Genomic DNA, 24391 nt, shown 5'->3' with positions numbered 1-24391 from the left:
AGCATGTGGTGCTGTTTGAAAGCATTTGACCCACAGCAGAAATGCAGTCAATTCAAAATGCAGTCAATTCTCTCAAACTCTATTGCTCCTTTATCACCTAGTTACATAATATTCTAAATCCTGTGTTGTTATGTCAACAATGTTCACAGTATCTTCACCAGGAGTAGATTTCATCTCAGAAAATCACTTTGTTTGCTCATCCATCAGAACCAACTCCTTATCCATTTCAACTTTATCATGAGATTGCAACAATTTCAGTCCCATCTTCAGGCTCTGTTTCTAATTCCAGTTCTCTTGCTCTTTCAACCACATTAGCAGTTAACTTCCTGCACTGAAATCTTGAACCTCTGTAAGTCATCCACGACGGTCAGAATAAACTTCTTCCAAACTTCTGGTAATGTTGCTGTTTTGGGCTCCTCCTTTGATTCGCAAAAATGTTCTTTATGGCATAGAAAATGGTGAATTCTTCCCAGAAGGTTTGAAATTTACTTTGCCCAAATCCATCAGAGGAATCACTATCTATGGTACTGATAGCCTTATGAAGTATATATCTTAAATAATTAGAGCTGAAAGTCAGAATTACTCCTTGATCAATGAACTGCAGAAAGGATATTATGTTAACAGGCAAGGAGATAATATCAATCTTGTCTATCTCCATCAGAGCTCTTAGGTGACCAAGTGCATTGTGGATGAGCAGTAATATTTTGAAAATAATTCCTAGGATTTTTAGAATGGTCAATGAGCATTGGCCTCAACTTAAAGTCACCAGTTACATTAGCTCCTAACAAGAGAGTCAGCCTGTCCTTTGAGGCTCTGAATCCAGGCAATGACTTCTCCTCTGTAACTATGAAAACCCTACATGGCATTTTCTTCCAATAGAAGGATGCTTCATCTACACTGAAAATCTCTTCTTTGGTGTAGCTACCTTCAATGATCTTAACTAGAGCTTCTGCATAAATTTCTGCAGCTTCTACATCACACTTGCTGGTTTCTTTAAACTTCTGAACCAACCTCTGCTAGCTTCAAATGTTTCTTTTTGCAGTTTCCTTACCTCTCTATCTTCACATAATTTTAGACACTTCGTTCCTGGCTCTGGATTAGGGTTAGGTCTTTAAGGGAACGTTGTGGTTGGTTTGACCTTCTATCCAGACCACTGAAACTTTCTCCATCTCATCACTAAGGCTATTTCACTTTCTTATCATTTGTCTGTTCACTTGTAATTTTCAATAAGAACTTTTCCCTTGTTTTCACGACTTAGCTGTTTGATGCCAGAGACCTACCTTTTTGGCCTACTCTCAGCTTTCGACATGCCTTCCTCACTAAGCTTAATCATTTCTAGCTTTTGATTTAAAGTGAGAGATGTATGACTCTTCCTTTCACTTGAACACTTCAAGGCCATTGGAGGGTTATTAATCGGCCTAATTTCAATATTATTGTGTCTCAGAGAATAGGGAGGTCCTAAGAGAGACAGAGAGACTAGGAACGGCTGGTAGCTGCAGTAGTCAGAACACACTCTACACTTATCAATTAAGTTCACCATCTTTTATGAGTTTGGTTCATGACACCCCCCAAATTTACAATAGTAACATGAAAGCTCACTGATCATAAATCACTGTAACAATATAATAATAAGAAGAAAGTCTGAAATATTGAGAGAATTACCAAAATGTTACAAAGAGACACAAAGTGAGCATATGCTGTTGGAAAAATGTCACTAATAGCCTTGCTCAACTCAGAGTTGCCACAAACCTTAAAATTCTTTAAAAAAAAAAAAAAAAGCAGTATCTGCGAAGTGCAGTAATGCAAACTGCAATCGGATGAGGTATCCCTGTATTGTATTTCTATATTAAGGCAGTTTACAAAGACTAAATGTGAAAAATGAAAGAAAATTCCTTCACAGTATCCATAAATAATGCATACTAAGCAAATACTAGCTATGCTTATTATCACTATTCTAATATTACCAGTTGATAGGTCTGAATATTTCATTACTCGAGTCAGTCTCAACTTGTATAGGGGCCATAATTGATCAATAAACATATTTAAAACAAAACCGACTCCAAAAGTCATTCCTGGTATCACTGTCTTAGAATCAAGTGCAAATATTGTTCAAAGAAAAACCAAATATGTCTTCTTATTTTTTTCAGAAAAATCCAATCCTTAAAAATGTTATTTCAGGGTGAAGGAGTATTCACATTCATTATTTAGAGAACACTGACACAAATGTATATTGATTTTAGGTTTTATAATGAAATTTGCTTGATGTAGTTTTCTTCACAAATGAAATGAACATTGACCTGCCTGATTGCATATTGACAATAAAATCATCCCTAGATACAGAAGCCTTTGTAGATACTGTCAAAGAAAGTTAGACATGATGAGTGAGCTCTTTTATAAGTTGACAGTATTAGCTTTGACCCTAACTTTGATGTTTCCCTATTGTTTGGAAAGAGGTTGCAGTGAGGTATTACTTCTCTTCCTCGTTTTACCTCAAAATAGCCTTGTTTCAATAATTTACTTGGTAAGAAATAGAAGAGGAGAAGGTCCATGGAAGGAAAAAGAACATTGTAAGAGCTTGTATCTATAAAACAAATAAAGGTGAAACACTCTCACCTGTCAGTAAAAATAACTGCCTACAAAGAAACAGAACTGGAATACCCTTCCGAGTATTTGCCACCTTCCTACTTTAAATGCAAAGTAATAAAATGCATTCAGTTGTTTTGCATTTCCTCAAAATGAGACTTTTATCTTTCAGAACTGCTGATTCAGTGATTCTTTGGTTGTTTTCATAGGATACACCATTTTATCCACTCATTACAGAAGTTTATTTAATAATCTTATGCTTCTAAAAAAAACAAACAGCTGTTTTTTTGAAAACCATATACATGTCACTTTACTGGAACAAATATTACTAGCTTCGTTCTGGGTTTCTAGTATGCTTATTGGACTCAAAGGCAGAAAAGCTGAGGGACTATGTTTTAAAATTGCATGAGCACCCTTGTCATTCATTACTAAATGGCCATTCTGTGCCTGTCACTGGGTTAGTCCCTTGAAAATCAGAGAGACATCATCTCTGCCCTTTGGGAGCTTACGATTGAGTGAGAACTTGAGCAGGTTTTATTTGAGGCCCAAACCAGTTCCAGGAATACAGAAGTCCCTACAGTTCATGGGATCCCAAGTCTCTGGTAGAAGTTTGAGTTAGAGAAAAACCACCTGACTCCCAAAATATTCAAAGAAGTATAAAATTAGGTTTAATTTTGTAATTACATTACAAAATATTAAGTATATTATAATTATATTACATATATTTTATAATTATATTACAAAATAAATTAGTAATTATACTTCCCTGCATTATCACTGTATTTTTTCACTGGTGGAAAAAAATCATAATAATATTGATATTTAGAAATAAAAAAACTTTTTATTATTAAAAATATCTTGGATATGGCAGAAAACTATCCATGTATTTAAAAGTATGATGAGTAAGCTAAAAAGCAATTTAAAACCAACAGTCCCTAATAAAAAGCAATACAAAAATCTTGCTAGACAATTGGTGTTTACATGACCTCTTCTCACCAAAAAGAAAAAAGATAATTCATGTTTTTGAAAAAAGTAACTATTTTATTAAGCAAAACCTAAGTAATTCCCAACCTGTATCTGTCTAGTACAAATAAATAAATACTTACATATAAATTAAATAAATATGTTTCAAAGTAAGCATTAGATTTCATAGGATTCTGTACTGATAATTATGAGACATTCATATGTTATTAGGGCCAGAAATCCTGTCCTAACTCAGCTTTCTCAATTATCCACTCAATAAGTTACTATTCAAACTCCAAGTGGTTCTTCAGGAGCTGACATGCTGATATTCCTCTGACAAAGCTGACTTTATCCCATGGGGGGGCCTTGCATCCTTTGAGAATAGTGAGTAGGCTAAAAAGAAGTTTAAAACCAACAGTTCTTTTAAAAAAAAACAAAAATTAACAGAGGAGCATTTCTCCTTTGTGACCTACATCTGAAAAGAGGAAAAAGATTTATAAGTTAATTGTTTTTTTCTTACTTTAACAATAGTTGTTTAAAGGTTGTGTTTATGAGTTTTGTGTACAGTTTCAAAAGCCATTCAGAAGTTTTACTTTGCTTAACCAATAAAACAAGTAGAGATACACAAAAGTGCAAAACTTCAAGAAGAATCTGTGAACAATTCCTACAACTGCAGAAAGAAACAGTTGAATTAGCTACTTTTAGGATCAAAAGAGAAGCTTATATTATTTTTCTGCGTAGTTACATATAATTTTATTAAATGTGTATAATAACTTCAAAGGAATTAATTCATTGTTAAGAGTTGAAGGTATTGAATGTTTGGGAATAATTAAAAAGATGTATGCAATTCTTGCTGAGTAATGAATATGTCAAGAAATGTGAATTTTACTGAACCTATTTATTAAAGTGTATAATCAAAGATCTTAAAAGTTACCTGCTCTGCATTTTTAAGTATTCACATGACTCCTGATGGAATATAACAATGAATGAATATAAAAACTCAGATACATGTTATAAAACATATCTTACTATTAAATTTAAGAATTTAAATGTTACAATTGTTTATGACATTTACATGATAATCTTTGGAATATATATGTATGTTTGAAATACACTCATACCACTCATATTCATATATACACATATATGAAGCTATGAAAGAAAAGGGAAGAAATATGCAGTAAGCAACTTTAGGCCTGTAATTTGAACTTATGTGTCAGATTTCTCATCTGTATAAACAGGTTATACTCAACATTCTGTTTACTGGCTTCTACCAAAAGGAGTGTTATTGATCTGGTTTGGACAATCATACAGCATTAGTTGGGCCACACCTCTTAGGAGTTGTGCTTTCAAGGAGGTCAGAAGGCCAATGTACCTGGATATGTTCTAGCTTTTTCTCTTTTTTCTTTCCCAATATGATGAATTGGAGTAGTGAGCTGACTTAGTGCCTGCTCCCTCTACAAAGGTATAAGGATACATCTATTCAGGAACGTACTGGAGCAGGTACATTTTCTCTAATTAACTTAGAGAAAATAGAGCCTTTCTCATGGCCCATGACATTATACTGTTGTACCTTGGCCAAAGACCCAGGTATATATAACATGCTCTACTTTGCTTTCTTTTCCCTTTTTAAGCATCTATTTCTCCCAGAAATATGATAGGAAGGAGAGGTATCTGGGCCAAGCAGAATCTGGATATTATTCACATGCATGGCTATCATAACAACATCATAGTAGCACCCCATTTCTCAGGGTCTAACTGTAACACCTAGCATAGTATCTTTTAAACAGTGTGCATCAGTGAAATGGTAGGTAGTGATTCACATTCTCTCTAAAAGAGCCAAATAGTCACTATGTGATCATTTAGTCCTAATGCTTTCATTTTACACACCTGAAAATGTTAAATACTGTGTAAAAGTCAACACACATGTATAGAAATACACATATGTATATATTTTAATATTAAATTGTAATTGTGGCCAGGCAGAGAGACTCACGCCTGTAATCCCAGCACTTTCGGAGGCTGAGGCGGGCAGACAACTTGAGGTCAGGAGTTCAAAACCAGCCTGGCCAACATGGTGAAACCCCATCTCCACTAAAAATGCAAAAAAAAAAAAAATAATTAGCCAGGCTTGGTGGCATGCACCTGTACTCCCAGCTACTTGGGAGGCTAAGCCAGGAGAATCTCGAACTTGGGAGGTGGAGGTTGCAGTGAGCTGAGATGACGCCACTGCACTCCAGCCTGGGTGACAGAGTAAGACACCATCTCAAAAAGAAAAAAAAAATGTAATTGTTACAAAAAACACATGGCAATTCTCCGGTTAAATAAGCACCTAATAATAGGGAAACAGCAATATCTTGGGGGTCAGTAAGTTACATTTAAAGTTCAAGTTTCATTATTATCTAGCTATGTGACCTTAAGTAAATTACTAAGCTTCTCTGAAACTTAAATTTCTATAGTCTGCAAATGGAAGGGAATGAATTATCAGTGCTGCAAAGTGAAGGGAATGAATTATCAGTGATGCACAAACACTGGCTGTAAAAGAATCCATCACCTTGAGACTTTGGAAACACCTAGACTCAGTAATTAAGTCTTGAGTAGGGTTCTAATAGTCTGATCAGGTTTCAAATCCAGTTACAAATTGATCCTATTTTAACAATCCTGCCTCTAAGCTGAAATTCAAGGTAAATGACTTGCCCAAGTCTACACAGCTAGTTAGTAATGAGGCTGAAATTAGAACAAATACTTGTAACTCCCACCCCCATGGTTTTCCCACAGAAAGCGTAAGCAACCACCCATTAAGCTGATTATCCTGCTACTTTAATAAGAACTAGGAACCTTAAAGATAGGGAACCTTGAAAATACACACTTTTTCTCCAACCAGAAAATGTTTCTGGATCTATATGTATCCTTCAAAATGAAGAACTGCTTAATGGCTACTGAAGCTAGAGGTAGAAACAGCAATTCTTTGGTGGTGGGGAGGGGGTGTCATAATTCCTTCAAAAAGCAAAATAAAAATGCCTGTAGGAAAGTCTCCTTCTAACAAGTGACTCTAGTAGATGAGTTAAGAGCTTCAGTCTTCTAGTTGGAGATACTAAAAATAGCCTCCTGTGTAAGATTTAAGCCTTTTTAATATATTTTATTTTATATGTGGGAAGTGTAGACGAGTTTGAGAAGGATTGGGAAAAGAAGATAAGTAAGATTTTTTTAAATGAACCAAATCATGCATTATGTCAGTTTCTGTATATTATCATAAATGGCTCACTGTCTATCTGATAAAATCTATCATATAATATCTGAAGCGGGGAGAAAAGTCTGAAAATTTTAAGTGGTAAAGACTAAAAATAAAAATTTAAAAAAATATCCTTTTTTGCCAGCAGCGCATGCCAGCTGAAGGATTCTCAAGGCTTTTTATTGTGAGGTCACCTACTAGCACTTCATTTTTGGGTACTTCTAGCTGCCTGCTGGACCTGGCCATCAATCACTCTCTAAGTAAGCAGCTCTTCTGAAAAGAAATGAATCTTTTCAGAACTGGTTATTTTTAGCAATACTTTGGCAAATGTTTAAGTAGTCACTGGAGGAAGAAGGTACCTGGATGTAATTAGCATCTTTGCTAATTCTCTGTATTTTCAGATCTGCATTTTGAATTCTCCTCTTGTTTATTTGAACTGTTGATTAAGTGATTCTCTGCCAGCTAATGTATGCATTCACCTAGCTATTGATTACTTCAAATGACTGCCTTGAATATTTACTGCTGGTTAAATATTTTAAACTTCTACCAACATTATCTTGTACCCAATTAAGAACTCATTGAGGCAGTTTTTTTAACTTCTCTTTCATTTGAGGGAGTATTCTTGAAGCTAATTACAGGTAAGAGTTACTTGTTTCCCTCATTTTAAGGTCCAACTTTCTGGAGGGCAAATGCCCTGTCCTGTGGGAGGTTACTAACAAGAGCTTAGTGTAGAGTGTAGCGTGGGGTGTTTGACACAGAAGGAATGGAGAATAGGCTACTCTATTCGTGCCTTTGCTCTCCCTTCAGCTTCTTTAATTAGTTCCCTTGGCATTTCTCAGGGAAAAAAGGTGGCACAATCCCCCTAAAGTCTCACATTCACCCACCCACTACTTCCTTTTAAAAATAAGTTTACTTTAAAACTCATTTCTAGTGAATTTTATAACCAGACTTTCTACCACAAAATTTTAAATTATGGCTGTAGTGGAGTCAAAAAAATTCTTGAAGCCCAAATTTTCAATTCTTCTCTGCTTCTCTACTGAAGCATAAGGGGGCTATGGCCCAAAGTATCACATTCAAAATGCACCACATTCATTCAGGACCAGGAGAGAAGAGATTCTTTGGAACTACAAGAATGAATTATCTTTACCCCAACAGACACTGTAAAATTGAGGCATCAATAACACTTTGTCTCTGCAGAGCATTTAAAACTTTCATCCTGCTTTAAAATATATTAATTTAGCTGGTCCTCACAACCACCTTGTAAGGTGCTATTTCAGGGTTTCTCAACCTTGGCACTATTGACCTTTGGGCTAGATCATTCTTTGTTGAAGGGGTGGTCCTGTACATTGTAAGATGTTTTGGACCCTGGGTTGTACTTACCAATGTTAGTAATAGAACCCCTCCCCCTCAACACACATAAACAACTAAAAATGCCTCCAGAAATTGCCAAATGTCCCGGGAGGAAACAGAGAGGAGCAAAGTTGCTCTCAGTTGGGAACCAGTGATTTATCTGTAATCCCCATTTTATGAAGGGCCTGTTACTAGAAATATTTAAGTGACTTACCAAAGTTTACTAAGACTTTGATTTCTCCCCTTACTTAACTTCTCCAAACCATCAGCACATCTTTAACTCTATCTCAAACATATCTCAAAATCTATCCACCCATCTCCATCTCTACTACCACCACATAGAACAATGAATCATCTCTTGCTTGGGCTACAGTAATAACTTCCTACGGAGGATCCCTACCATCTCTTTATCCTCGTGAATCCATTCTTTACATACTGCAGGGGTAATGTTTTTAAAATAAACTAAATCATAACCTTGTGCAGCTTAAAGTCTCCAATGCTGTCCCATTGCATCAAGAATAAAATCCAAACCACTCATCTTTTTTATTTCTCTGATAGCTCATCTTCATCCAACATACTCATCACAATGACCTTCATATGCTTAGAATATGACAAGTTCATTGCCACTTTGGAGTCTCTACACAAGTTATTCCCTCTGTTAAGAACGTCCTTAACCTTCATTGGTGGTTTCTTCAGATCTCAGCTACACCAACTACCTAACCTAAAGTAACAACTTACACATTTCCTGTTTTAATTCTCTGCATACCATGTATTGGGTGTTTGTCTTGATTATTTACATGCTATGTTATTTACTGTCTGTCTTCTTCACAGAAATGCACACTCTAGGAGAACAGCGGTGTCTTGTCTATATTTTGACTATTTTGTTCATCACTATATTCCCAGCACCAGAACAGTTTGGCACATAGGAGGCACTCAATTAGCACATGTTAAATAAAAGCATTAAATAATAACGAATCATTATTCAATGACTCCCTGTACTCATGGAGTCAGAAGCAGAATCCAGGTGTTTCATTCTATTATACTGCTAAAATCCAATCATTTCAAAGCTATCAATCTATAAAAATATTTATAATAAAAATATGGTAGGGACAGGGGGAGAGAAGGTACGGAGGGATCTCTGCAGTAGAAAAACTCACAATCAAAAAGAGAGTCACACACACACACAGAGACACACACACACTTTAAAAGTACACGTGAGAAATGCCAGAATAGTGGTAGGAACATAATACAACTGGGAAGAAGGAAGTAGAGGGTGGAGTCACAGAATCCTTCATGCAGGAGGTTAGCTAAAGCTGCATTTTGAAGAATGCATAGTTCAATATGTATTTCAGCAAACTGCAGGCTATCAACACTTTGGCCTTTAGGAGGTCTGGATTAATAATGCCAAGTGAGGGGGAATTCCTCCCAGCTAGAGACAATGAGCTAATTATACTGCTTATATGTTTGCTGTAGGTATTCTGACATCTCTTGGCCATGGGCTGCATGACCCAGAAAGACACTTCTTCCTTGCCTTAGTGAAACGATGATTCGGCTTCCCCAGTCATTTCTTTGTGTGCCTGCTCAGAACAAAAGCTGTCATCTGTGCTGAATGTCACCAATGTGGCCCTCGGCTGGTATATTGGAATAGCCCCTGAATGGGATGAGAACATAAAACTAGTATCTTTTGTGATGAGCATAATTTAAGAACTTGGGATCTGTGACAATAATGACTAAATGATAAGAGCTGGTTTTCAAATAAAGTGTAATGGGCAGCCTGAAAAAGAAATAGCTTTGAAAATGAAATTCAAAATGAAGCAGATTAAGTCTCGAGTATATTCTATGAAAGTCCCTGATGATGGGGAAGGGAGAGGAGGAAATATATTTTATTTTTTTATACTCTCTTTTTCTTCTTGACTGATTTTATGCTAATTCAGAGCTCCAAAGTTATTTATAAATTTGGATATTTGGAAATAAATATTTTCTGGGATCTTAATTAAAACAAGCATTTTGACATTCTGATATAACATATCTCTGTATGATTTCACAACCATAAGTAAAGTCATAAGTAAAATTACTGTAAAGTTAGTAAAAATCATCATGATACAAATACTTTCAGTCTGCATGTACCTGCTAGGAAACAGCATAATACAAACTTGAAAGCTGACAACAGTTTGAATTCTATGTGTAATTCTGTTCAAACATTAAAACGACTCATCATCCAAAGTCATTATTTTTTGCTGTGATATGAGAAGATATATATTTCAAATGGTAATAAAACTGAGAGCAACCAAGTTAATAGGAAAAGACTGAAACTTTCCAAGGAGCATTAGCAAGAAGACAACTACATTTTACTCCTTGTATGACAGTATTACAGATTTATGGTTCAATATGAATTTGTCACTAATCAGGAACCCCATGTGCTGAAACTGAAATATCTGCTATACTGTTCCCGTCAAGAGAATTCTACATTGCCAAAATTCTCTCCTTTTTTTTTTTTTTCCAGAGAGAGTGTCTGTTGCCTCTGTTCCTCTGTTGCCCAGGTGGGAGTGCAGTGGTGTGATCTCAGCCCACTGCAACCTCTGCCTCCTGGGTTCAAGCGATTCTCCTGCCTCAGCCTCACAAGTAGCTGAGATTACAGGCATGCAACACCACTCCTGGCTAATTTTTGTATTTTTAATAGAGACGGGGTTTCACCTGTTGGCCAGATTGGTCTTGAACTCCTGACCTCAAGTGATCCAACTGCCTCAGCCTCCTAAAGTGCTGTTATTACAGGCATGAGCCACCGTGCCTGGACAGAATTCTCTAGTTTAAAAAGTATGTATCTATATCCATCATCTCTCATTTTTTCACAAGACTGGTATTTTTTATTTAGGATACAGCTGAAAGCAGAAAATTTATGCCAGAAAACATGAAATTCAAATCCAGATCTGACCATTGATGAGATATTTTAACATGGAAGACTGACAAAGCCTATGAGTCTCCATCTTCCCATTTATAAAATGAAAAAAGCAACTCCTATCCCCACAGGATTATATTGCAGATTACCAGAAATGTAGTGCATTAAGGCACTGAACTATGATCCTGGCACATGATATGTACTCAATAAATTGTAAATGCAGAATAATTCATACGGATTCTTTCCTGCTTCTTCTTTCATAAATGTATATCAATTAATTCCGGCTAGCAAATCAAGAAAGAATGAAAAGAAAATGACAGCTTTTGCAGTTTAAAAGTGTGCCATCACCCTCCACTACATACACAGGATGAATCCAGGTAAACAGAGCATCCGCAGAAAGCTAGAAAGAGCAGTAGAGGCCCAGGGCCAGTATGGAGAAGAGAGAACTAGGGAAGTGATGCCAAATTGTAAAGGTTCCTTAATAGTCGCTATAACTTCAAGAAAGTTTCTTCCTTGATTTGCTAATGAAATAGTTCTGAGTCCAGGCATTTCTTCTTCTTCTTTTTTTTTTTTTTTTTTTTCTGGTGAGACCGAGTTTCGCTCTTGTTGCCCAAGCTGGACTGCAGTGGCATGATCTCGGCTCACCGTAACCTCTGCCTCCTGGGTTCAAGCGATTCTCCTGCCTTAGCCTTCCTGAGTAGCTGGGATTACAGGCATGCACCACCATGCCTGGCTAATTTTGTATTTTTAGTAGAGACGAGGTTTCTCCATGTTGGTCAGGCTGGTCTCGAACTTCCGACCTCATAAGATCTGCCCACCTCGGCCTTCCAAAGTGCTGGGATTACAGGAGCGAGCCACCGTGCCCGGCCCAGGCATTTCTTTTTCATAGGATAGAAATGGATCACTGCTTAGAGCATAAACAAGATAGGAGTGATTCACACATAACACACCCCAGTCAACAAAGCCAACGGCCTTCCAGCAAGATCCCTTGTCTATATTTCTTTATGCTTGGTATAGGGTACGTACTAGTAACTGTTGAATGATGAATGAATGGTACCAACAAAAATTGTGGAAAATAAATCAGAGGTTACATGACTAGCACTATAGTAGATGCTCAATAAATACTTTCTGTATTGGCCGTATAATTAAGTGATGAAGAAATGATAAAATGAAGGATTGAACAAATGCACAAAGAGTCTATTGAACCAACCAACCAATGAATAAAAGAACAAATATGTTCTCAGATTATACTTTAAGTAAAAGATTTTAAAGTCCATGATAGAAGCCAGGATTCACAGTAGGGTTCACAGAAAAGTAAAAATATAAAGTTGGCCATGTCAACAAACACTCTCACACCACTTTTGAAAATTCTCTCCACAATCAGCACTTCACACACATACCTCATATCAGTCCTTTCCAAATAACACAAAAAAGTCAGAGTATCTGAAAAACAGCAAAGAGACATCAATTCCAGCCTGTTCCCTTTACAGAATATAATTAGGAGATGACATAACAGCTTTGTATAAATTAGGGTCTTCTGAATTTTCATTAAGCATAGATACCATGGGTTATAGGACCTGCAGAAGTTTATTTATTTCTATATCATCTCTAGATTTTTTCCAGAAGTTTATACTCAAAAATGGATCAGACAAACATGTGAGTATTTATCAAAAGCTTAACAATATATAAGGTAATGCCACAATCCTTACTGAAAATTCACAGAGAAAGTTGACTTCTTTTATTTCCTGCCAAGAATGTAATTCCATCTCCAGAAATAAGTTCATTTAGAAGATGCTTTAGGCTGCTTCAAGCCAAACTAGGTAACTAAGTGTCACGGAATATTTTCTCTTAAAATATTAGGAAGCCAAGCTCCTTTGTTTTTGATGGCAAACCTCCAGGAATAGAATAGCCATGTGATTCCCAGAGTGACACTTGTCAGTGGTGGGCTTACCGATATTCTGGAATCAGAACAAGTGCCAAACATGTAAAGGTGTTGAATATTTCTCTTCCTGTGTAGGTAACCAAACTTAGAAACACATGCTAATTTCCCTCCCATATGTCTTATCTTAGGCTACAAAATTCTATATTGCATCAGAATAGCAGTTATTTCCAAATATTAAGGAAAACAATATGGAGGTTCCTTGAAAAACTAAAAATAGAACTGCCATATTATCCAGGAATATATACCACCGCTGGTTATATATCCAAAGGAACTGAAACAATACATCAAAGGAACATCTTCACTCCCGTGTTCATTGAAGCATTTTTCACAATGGCTACAATATGTAATCAAGCTAAGTATCCATCAATGGGTGAACAGATAAAGAAAATGTGGAATATGTAGACAATGGAATACTATTCAGACATGAAAAAGAATGAAATCCTGTCATTTCTGACAACATGGATAAATCTGGAGGATGTCATGCTAAGTGAAATGATCCCGGCATAGAATAACAAATACTGTATGATCTCACTTACACGTGGAATCTAAAAAAGTTGAACTCACAGAAGCAGAGAGTATAAGGATAGTAGGATAGCTCCCAGAGACTGCAAGTGTAGGGAAGGAGGGAATGGGGATCAAAGGATATAAAGTCTCAGATAGACTGGAGGAAGAATAGGTTTTGAGATCTACCGCACAGCAAGGTGACTACAATCTAAATATATATATATAGTTTCCAGGACTGCAGCAACCAAGTACTACAAATTGGGTGGCTTAAAACAACAGAGTTTATTGTCTCACAGTTCCAGAGGCTAGAAGTCTGAAATCAAGGTGTGAGCAGGGCCATGCTCCCTCTAAAATTTGTCACGAAAACTTCTTCATAGCTTCTGGTGGTTTGCTAACAAACTTTGGCATTCCTTGGCTTGCAGCTCCATAACTCCAATATCTGCCTCTGTTTTCACATGGCATTTTGCCTGCCTGTCAATCTTTGCGTGGCCCTCTCCTTATAATGATGCCAATCATATTGGGTTGGGGGCCCACCCTACTCCAGTATGACATTATGTAAATTAATTACGCATGCAACAATCCTATTTACAAATAAAGTCATATTCTGAGGGACGGGTGGTGAGGATTTCAAAATATCTTTTTTGGAAGGACACAATTCAACCAATAACAATTTATTATTAATATAACACTGTATCCCATTTGATTTCTTTCCTTTCTTTTCTGTTGACATGGGGTCTCACTCTGTCACCCAGGCTGGAGTGCAGTGGCGCGATCATGGTTTCCTCCAGCCTCAACCTCTCAGGCTCAAGTGATCTTTGGGCCTCAGTTTCCTGAGGAGCTGGGACTACAGGAGCACACCACCACACCTGGCTAATTTGTTTTTTTTAAGAGATGGGATCTCTTTGTGTTGCCCAGGCTAGTCTCAAACTCCTGGGCTCAAGTGATCCTCCTGCCTCAGCCTCCCAAAGTCCTGGGATTACAGGCATGAACCACCATGCCTGGCCCCATTCACTTTCTATAATTATACATATAATTATTTTCCCTGAACATTTGAGACAGACAACATGATGATGAACCTTATATCTAGATATTTCAGTATTTCCTCTAAACAGGGACATTTTTTTATGTACCCATAGTACAGTTACTAACTTCATTGAACTGAAAAGAGTCACACATCACTTCACAAGGATGTGTTTTGAGAAATGTATCATTAAGCAATTTTATCATTGTGGGAATATTATAGAGTGTATTTACACAAACCTAAATGATATAGCCTACTACACACCTAGGCTAGATGGGATAGCATATTGCTCCTAGGCTGCAAACCTGTATAGCATGTGACTGTCCCAAATACTGTGGGCAACTGTAACACAATGTTATTTGTGTATCTAAACAAATTTAAACGTAGAAAAGATACAGTAAAAATACAGTATTATAATCTTATGGGGCCATAGTCATGCATATGTGATGCATTATAATCTTATGGGGCCATAGTCATGCATATGTGATGCATTACTGACAGAAACATCATTATGTGGTGCATGATTATATTTGTACAGAAATGTTATCTAATCTGCTGGCTGTGTTTCAGTGTTGTTAATTCACCCAGTAATATGCCTTACAACACTGTACATCTTCCACTTCAAGATCCAGTCTATGGCCACATACTGCACTTAGTTATCACATCTCTTTACTACAGTATCCTTTAACCAGTAAAAGTTTCCAGCATTTTTTTCTTCCATTATAGTGATACTTTTGAAGAATAAAGTTGATGAGCCATTTTTATAGTCCCTTCTATCACCCTGATGTTCTCTATCAGGAGTGGCTTTTTTTTTTCCTTCTCCTTCAAAGTTAGAAGGTATTTTTTTAATAGAAGAGTAATGAGGCTTTAGGACAAGTCAGGGCCAGATCAGTCCACAAATGACAATGCCATAGATGCTAGGATATGTGGAGGGAATTTTCCAAAAAGAATGAAATTCTGTACTGAAGAGATAATAGATAAGGGGGTACAGCTTGAAGTCTAAGTTTTCTCAGGGGATGGAACTATGGACAAACTTGTGTTGCAGGAGAATATGGGCAAAGAAAGGAGCTGTCAACTCCAGTAAAGATGCATCATAAGTAAGGGAAAGATTGGGTCTTCCCATGGCTGATACACTAAGAGAGAAATAAGGAAATCAGAGAGAGGGCAAAAGGCAGTACTGAATTTCAGCAGTTGTCATCTTAATAGTGAAGCTGTATTAGAAGTCTATTATATGCCTGGATCACACAGCAAAACACACATACACACTCTCACACCCACACCAGTACACACCATGTCGCCCATGACAACAACAAATGTTTGACCTCATTATTTATTTTTTTTAAATAGTGGGGAGCTAATAGTGGTTTTGGTGTAAAGTTAGAAAGTAGAAGAGAAAAATCAGTAAGCCATTCACAGAGCAAGTAAACATGAGTGTAGCTCAAAACAAATCAAAATATTGCTCTGTATAACTCCAACTGCTCTCACAAGAAGTAGAATTTTGCATAAATGTCTTCTTTTGCGAAGTGTCTGTTCATATCCTTTGCCCACTTTTTGATGGGGTTGTTTGTTTTTTTCTTGTAAATTTGTTTGAGTTCTTTGTAGATTCTGAATATTAGCCCTTTGTCAGATGAGTAGATTGCAAAAATTTTCTCCCATTCTGCAGGTTGCCTATTCACTCTGATGGTAGTTTCTTTTGCTGTGCAGAAGCTCTTTAGTTTAATTAGATCCCATTCCACCAGTTACAATGGAGATCATTAAAAAGTCAGGAAACAACAGGTGCTGGAGAGGATGTGGAGAAATAGGAACACTTTTACACTGTTGGTGGGACTGTAAACTAGTTCAACCATTGTGGAAGACAGTGTGGCGATTCCTCAAGGATCGAGAACTAGAAATACCATTTGACCCAGCCATCCCATTAATGGGTATACACCCAAAGGAATATAAATCATGCTGCTATAAAGACACATGCACACGTATGTTTACTGTGGCACTATTCACAATAGCAAAGACTTGGAACCAACCCAAATGTCCATCAATGATAGACTGGATTAAGAAAATGTGGGACATATACACCATGGAATACTATGCAGCCATAAAAAAGGATGAGTTCATGTCCTTTGTAGGGAGATGGATGAAGCTGGAAACCATCATTCTCAGCAAACCATCACAAGGACAAAAAACCAAACACCGCATGTTCTCACTCATAGGTGGGAACTGAACAATGAGAACACTTGGACACAGGAAGGGGAACATCAGACACTGGGGCCTGTTGTGGAGTGGGGGGAGGGGGGAGGCATAGCATTAGGAGATATACCTAATGTAAATGACAAGTTAATGGGTGCAGCACACCAACATGGCACATGCATACATATGTAACAAACCTCATGTTGTGCACATGTACCCTAGAACTTAAAGTATAATAAATATATATGTGTGTGTATGTGTGTGTGTGTGTATATATATATATATACATAGAATTTTGTTAAATAGATAACCTCACTCACTTTCCAGTTCAGTTGTAGGCAGTTGGGGCCTGAACTTGGAAGACCTGAATTGCCCAGTATGACTAGCTAATAAAAAAAAGTTAAATATTTACGGGCTAGAGGTGTCATGGAAGAGAGGGATCAACCTAGTGGCGGCACCACATGAGTACAGAAGGGAGGTTTGAGAGGTCTCTGGTCAAAGCAGCCCAAAAGGGACATAGAGGACAATTACTAAGAATGGCTTTTAAATTGTCTACTACGGGGTGTGCTCCCACCTTTCTCCAGCTTGTATCACTTATAAAACCTTTAATGTAGGGGCTATACTGATCAGTAATGGTTTCCTTGTGAAAATAGATTATTTTGGGTAAACTTGAGAATAATCTGGTAGTTGAGTTCTATGTCTGGGTTAATGCCAAAAAAAAAAAAGCCACATTAAAAACACATTATAAGTTGGGCATGGTTCCACGTGCCTGTAGTCACAGCTACTAGGAAGGCTGAGGCAGGAGGATCGCTTGAGCCCAGGAGTTCGAGGCCAGCCTGGGCAACATAGCAAGACAGACCCCATCTCTTCAAAACCAAATAAAAACAAAAACAAAAATACATTATGCCAGTAAGCTTGAGATGAGGATAGAGGAGATTCTGAGAGAGTCAAGCCCTGGGAAATCAGAAAAATTCCTTGAAAACTCAAGACTTTCAAGGGTCTTGAACTGGTGAGGTGAAAGTCAAGAACTTCAGACGTAAAGACCAGCCCAGCTAATATCTGAATATATGTGAACTGTATAGAAAATTGTACTAAGGTAGTGGTGTGTGTGTGTGTACGAGATATATATTTATGTGTGTGTGTGTATGTGTGTGTGTGTGTGTGTGTGTGTGTGCATAAAGTCCTCACCTTAAGCTGTATACCAATGTATGCACTATGCTGCAAGGTTGAATTTAGAAAACAGCAAGCCCAAAGAAAGCTGTAGAAATGTAATAGGCTCAGGATGGATGGTGAGATCTGCTAGGATGAATGGAGAATGGGGGTCCTGTAACTTCATCTTTTACTGCCCTCCCACCTACCACCCATGCAGACTGTCCCGTAGCTCTGAGATGCTGGCCTGGAACTGTAGACTAGAGTATTCATGTTTGGTACCCAGTTCTAAAGGAAGTAATGTGATGCAAAAAAAGAAAAAAAAAAGGAGAAATCTTTCCAGCTCCTAAAGACCCTTTATGCCCATGGATGAGCTCCAGCTCAACTTTGTGAAGCATTTTATCTATTTTATTTTCCCTGTATAGTGTAGGACACCTCCTTCTGTTTTTGTGCTTCCTCTAGAAAAATTCTTTTTTTATCATTATTTCAGAAAAAAAAAACACAAAGACACACACACACACACACACAAGTCAGATGTGGGAACCCTAGATCCACCCAACTGCTTAGATTGACTTTTGTCATTTCTGTTATTCTTTGAATTTTACTAAATCAATGAGAAGAAATGTCTCAGGAAATATTTGCCCATTATCATTCTAGTGGAACAGACTGAGCAGGGCAAAGGTTAGAGTTGGGCAGAAAGCTTCTTGCCAACGCTCACACATAAACTCACAGAGGACTCTGGGGTAGAATCCCAAACACTGATTCAGTGACCTTGAAATGGACTATTAAGAAAGCACAGGGTATCTGCAGGAGAGCAGAGTCTCACAGCACTTGTTCATCATCACCTTCCTGTATGAGGAGACACTGGTCCAAGCCTTTGTGTCACAACTGATTTGAGGAGCAATGATGAGTCTCTAAAGTCATCAGATCAGATGATAACCTCCGGTAATCACAGGTCTAAAATTTGGCATCCGTCCTTGGCTGAAGGCTACTGACGAGAGAGTAACCTGAGAATCACTCACTGAAAGTTCGTTATTAGAGTTTCACAAAGAGCATTAGAAAATATTTTAGTCACTTTAAAAAAAATGAATAACATAGGAATGGACACAGAGTTCTATGGAAATCGTATTTTTCATGAATAATGAAGAGCGCCATCTTGCTTAGAGAGAGGAAAGTCAGAATGGGGCTCCAGCCCCTCATTCTTTTTTTGTTTTTCAGGGACAACATGGAGGCGAGAAGAATATGGCCTTGGCTGACTCCTCTCTCAGGGTATCAATCTCTCTCAACCTTCAGCCCATTCCATGGATCAAACTGATTCATTTATCTGACATCCTACAACACTGACCCTCTCTATTCCAGCACTACCATATACCACGTTAACTCAATCTGTTGTGCCTGTTATTGCACTGAGTACCATCCCAGAGAGATCTGCTGAGTTCTTCAGCTGGTTAGCCTCTTCTGTTTGAAGGTACTCAGGCATGGACCCCAACTTCCAGGTCAGCCTTCTAGCGGCAGGCATCGGTGAAGGACTTGTTCCTCCCTACCTCCTCACATTGTGTTTTACATCAAGAGCATTTTTCTCTTCACACATCACAGACCCCTGCCTGGGCACACCCTGCATGTGGAAGCTGGCAACTTTTTCTTTTTTAGCCTGGATGTCAATAAGCATTTGAAGATATGAGTCATAAAGAAACTGGATTTTCAGATTTCAGAAAATAAAAAAAGAAGGAAAGGTCATTTCCAAAACATCTCAGGTCAGGTTATGGGCTGAATTTTCTGAATTCCACAGAATTACTTAATGATGAACAGGGCAAAATCCTCAGTCCCTCTAGAGCACTGAAGGGCAACCAGAGCAGCTGCAGTGTACATAGCATCTCCCAACTCTCAAGAACTTGGGGCATGATTTGCAGTGTAAGTAAAGTTAACTCTCCTGGGAGGGCACAGGGAGTCTTTGTAGCTGATAGTCTTAGTCTGTGGTAGCTGTTCCCCAACAGAGTCTCCCTTTGTTTATTCAATGTAAAGCCCATTGCCATCCAAATACTAATGCAGGCTAAAGAATTCCTACTGCTTCCTCAGCTGCAACCTGTTTCCCACCCCAAGGCCCAGCACCAGCATCTTCCTGCAACTTTGCCCTAATTACTGCCTTTCTGTCTGGTTCACAGGTACCTGAGAGGCCAGATTTCAACCCTCTCTCCCTCAGATTAATGCCTATAGAGTATCCCTCCCTAGAACCCAGAAATGGGTACAGTTTCTCACCCTACCTGAAATTCTATGCCTGAAATGGCACTGCAGCAGAAATAGCTAAAAGGTTTCTGGACTTTATTTACCCACTGAGGCCCAGAGATCTTTGGAAGCCTCCATCCCTCCAGCTCCCAATCTTCCTCAGGAGAACTTGACCTTTTCATCCTAAGTCCTAGTCTCTATCTTTCCTGAAGCATTTGTTTTCAGCAAGGAGATGAGGAAGCAACTTGGACACGGCCTTCAACATGGACTCACAGAACAAGAGAGGGGCCAGGCCTACAGAATCCTAGGGACTCTTGCTGATGCAGCCTAAAGATAAATTATTAGGGACCTCTCAATGGAAAGGCAAATATGGACTCTCATGGACTTCCATGTTGAAGGGCCAGAGGAACAAGGATCTCAAGTGGATTGTACTGAAGCACCCAGGAAAATTCTACTTAGAAGATGCAGAAAATTCTGCCTAGGGAATGATTGGGGAAGGGCTCAAAAGGTAACCAATCAAGGGGCTCAGAAAGCCTCCTTGATCCTTCCTTGATCCAGGCACTTGACAAGTATAGCAAACCCACTTTTTTTTTCTCCCTTTTCATTCTTGCTGTCATCTTAAAACCCACTTGATTTGCTTTCACAAGTGGCAGAAGTAGGATGCACTTCTCATGGTCCTTGAATCCATAAAACTATGGTGTCAAAAGAGAACATCTCAATCCTGGCCTTTTTACCATGCCACCTTTCCCTACTCAGAAACCCATGTTTCAGAGGCAGACTCAAAATCTGAGCTGAGAGAAAACAGATAATCATGGGAGAAAAATGTGGCATCTAGTCCTCTCCTGTGAGTAAGCAAGGCTAGCGGCATAAGGTGGTCCTGCTTTGATATTTGCAAGGGCCCTGCATAGACTCATCAGGTTAGGGCAGACGGTAAATACATCTCTGCATGTAGTCGATATTGTGTCCTCACACACACTACAACTAAGACGGAACCCGGCAGAATGTGACTAAAATGGGGGCCAAAAGGGCAACCCAGAGCTAACTATAAGTTACACAACAGCTGATCGTGAACCTAGGAATAAGAATGGGAATCACGCCCCCAAGGGACTCCAGCCATAGCAGAGGCGTGCTTCAGAGAGCAGAGCTATGAGGTGAAATTAGAGCTGCCTTCAAGGACCAATGATTCCCAAAAAAGAGCCCGCATTGCCAAGACAATCCTAAGCCAAAAGAACAAAGCTGGAGGCATCATGCTACCTGACTTCAAACAATACTACAAGGATATAGTAACCAAAACAGCATGGTACTGGTACTAAAACAGAGATATAGATCAATGGAACCGAACAGAGCCCTCAGAAATAATACCACACATCTACAACCATCTGATCTTTGACAAACATGACTAAAACAAGAAATGCGGAAAGGATTCCCTATTTAATAAATGGTGCTGGGAAAACAGGCTAGCCATATGTAGAAAGCTGAAAGTGGATCCCTTCCTTACACCTTATACAAAAATTTATTCAAGATGGATTAAAGACTTAAATGTTAGACCTAAAACCATAAAAAACCTTAGAAGAAAACCTAGGCAATACCATTCAGGACATAGGCATGGGCAAGGACTTCATGTCTAAAACACCAAAAGCAATTGCAACAAAAGCCAAAATTGACAAATGAGATCTAATTAAACTAAAGAGCTTCTGCAAAGCAAAAGAAATCACCATCAGAGTGAACAGGCAACCTACAGAATGGGAGAAAAATTTTGCAATCTACTCATCTGACAAAGGCTAATATCCAGAATCTACAAAGAACTTAAACAAACTTATAAGAAAAAAACAACCCCATCAAAAAGTGGGCAAAGGATATGAACAGACACTTCTCAGAAGAAGACATTTATGCAGCCAACAGACACATGAAAAAATGCTCATCATCACTGACCATCAGAGAAATGCAAATCAAAACCACAATGAGATACCATCTCACACCAGTTAGAATGGCCATCATTAAAAAGTCAGGAAACAACAGGTGCTGGAGAGGATGTGGAGAAATAGGAACACTTTTACACTGCTGGTGGGACTGTAAACTAGTTCAACCATTGTGGAAGACAGTGTGGCAATTCCTCAAGGATCTAGAACTAGAAATACCATTTGACCCAGCCATCCCATTAATGGGTATATACTCAAAGGAATATAAATCATGCTGCTATAAACACACATGCACACGTATGTTTATTGCGGCACTATTCACAATAGCAAAGACTTGGAACCAACCCAAATGTCCATCAATGATAGACTGGATTAAGAAAATGTGGCACATATACACCATGAAATACTATGCAGCCATAAAAAAGGATGAGTTCATGTCCTTTGTAGGGAGATGGATGAAGCTGGAAACCATCATTCTCAGCAAACCATCGCAAGGACAAAAAACCAAACACTGCATGTTCTCACTCATAGGTGGGAATTGAACAATGAGAACACTTGGACACAGGAAGGGGAACGTCACACACTGGGGCCTGTTGTGGGGTGGGGGGAAGGGGGAGGGATAGCATTAGAAGACATACCTAACGTAAATGACGAGTTAATGGGTGCAGCACAGCAACATGGCTCATGTATACATATGTAATAAACCTGCACGTTGTGCACATGTACCCTAGAACTTAAAGTATAATAATAAAAAATTAAAAAAAGAAAAAAACAGTTAAAAAAGAAAAGACCAATGGTTCCAAGGATATGTTATAATTAAGGCTATGGAGTCCCACATGCCTCATAAAACAAAACCAGAAAATAAATTAAGCACACAGAGAACTAATTAGCTTAGAATCTCCCAAATATTCAATGACAATTTGAGTAGTCTAAGGGCTGTAATAACCAAGAAATACTTTGTACCATTATTGGCAGTCCAAGATCTCTGGAAATCACACCCCGAAGACCATCTTTCTTCTTAGTTAAAACTCTAAACAGAGGCACAGACTGAGAGCCGGGCTCATGATTGTACAACTGAAGTGCCCACTGACCCAGAAAATTTGCTAATGGCTCACAGCCTCATCCCCATAGCATACACTGTGGGGATATGGCACCTTCCCATGTTTTATAGATCCACTTAGAGCATATGGAAAGTGCCCTGGGGTAGCAAGAGCTCGAATCCCCTAAGTTTCAGACCCTCCTGAAAGATCTGGGATACTAATTTAGAGCCAAGTGAAAAAAATGGGAATCCTATAATAGCAGTTTCCAATTAGTAAAGAATCCAGAATTTGGACATAGGGTTGGGGACTTTACACACTAGAGGGAAAGCACTTTCCTGCAAAGGTCAGAGGAAGAGAGAGACCGTGGTGAGCAATGTGTCCCCATTTCTGCCCCAAAGAAGACAGACTCCTCAGAAAACTAAATTCAGAGAATGGATGAGTCATTTGTCTCAGTGGATACATCCCAAGAGAGAAAACAAAAGTCAGCAAGGTGCCCTGCAGAATGCCAAATCAATGTCAGCCTCTGTAAAAAGCCCAGGCCAGGCTCCATTCAAACCAAAGTTGTCTTTGAGTGGTGTGGACACTGAAGATAACACAACAGTTGCACAATGAGGAATCCAGGCCCAGGAGGAGCTTGCAGGTAAACAACCCTGTGATTGTAGACCACTCTCCCTTCTTAAGCAAAGCAAAGTAACAAAAGCCACATCCTTCACAAAGATTTTGAGGACCTGAATTTTTGCAGAAGGGCCAGTATCTTTGTCCATTTGTGCTGTTATAACCAAATAACACAGACTGAGTAATTTGTAAACATGGAAATTTTTTTCTCACACTTCTGGAGGCTGGGAAGTCCAAGACCAAGGTGCCAGCAGGTTCAGTGTCTAGTGAAGGCAGCTCTCTGTGTCCAAGATGGTGCCCTGTTGCTGCATCCTCCAGAGGGGATGAGGTTGTGTCCTTACATGAAGGGATGGAGGGGTAACTCGCCCCATCAAGCCCTTTTATAAGGCACTTTATCACCTCCTAAGGGCCCTCCCTCATAATATTGTTTCACCTGAGAATAAATGTCAACATGAGTTTTGGAGGGGACACAAACATTCAAACCACAGCAGGCGGGTGGTTCATACACAGGAATAGATGTCCTAGTAACACTGAAAAATTCAATTGTGTCTGAAGCATCCTCCTTCCATACTTCCCAATTAGCCTGTGTTCCCAAGCTGGTTCCACCAACAAGTGTCTAGGTTTCAAGACACCACAGCTCACCCTCACCCATGCTCTGGGCTCTGTCTCTTTGGGCTGTCATTTCTAGTGTTCTAAAAGTCCTCCTTCATCCCTTCCTGGAAGGGAAGTTCCTTTTAATGAAAATTTCAGGCTGGTGTGGTGGCTCACTC

General features: G+C 38.6%; 1 protein-coding gene across 28 annotated transcripts in view; it reads right to left on the bottom strand.

Moving 5' to 3' along the window:
* CNTN4 (contactin 4) overlaps positions 1 to 24391 on the bottom strand; it is a 959094-nt gene that overhangs the window by 849304 nt on the left and 85399 nt on the right. The gene's annotated exons all lie outside the window — the stretch shown is intronic.

The sequence above is a fragment of the Homo sapiens genome, chromosome 3 (assembly GCF_000001405.40).
Source record: "Homo sapiens chromosome 3, GRCh38.p14 Primary Assembly".
Taxonomy (NCBI): domain Eukaryota; kingdom Metazoa; phylum Chordata; class Mammalia; order Primates; family Hominidae; genus Homo; species Homo sapiens.
This window is presented reverse-complemented; position numbering and strand designations above follow the sequence as displayed.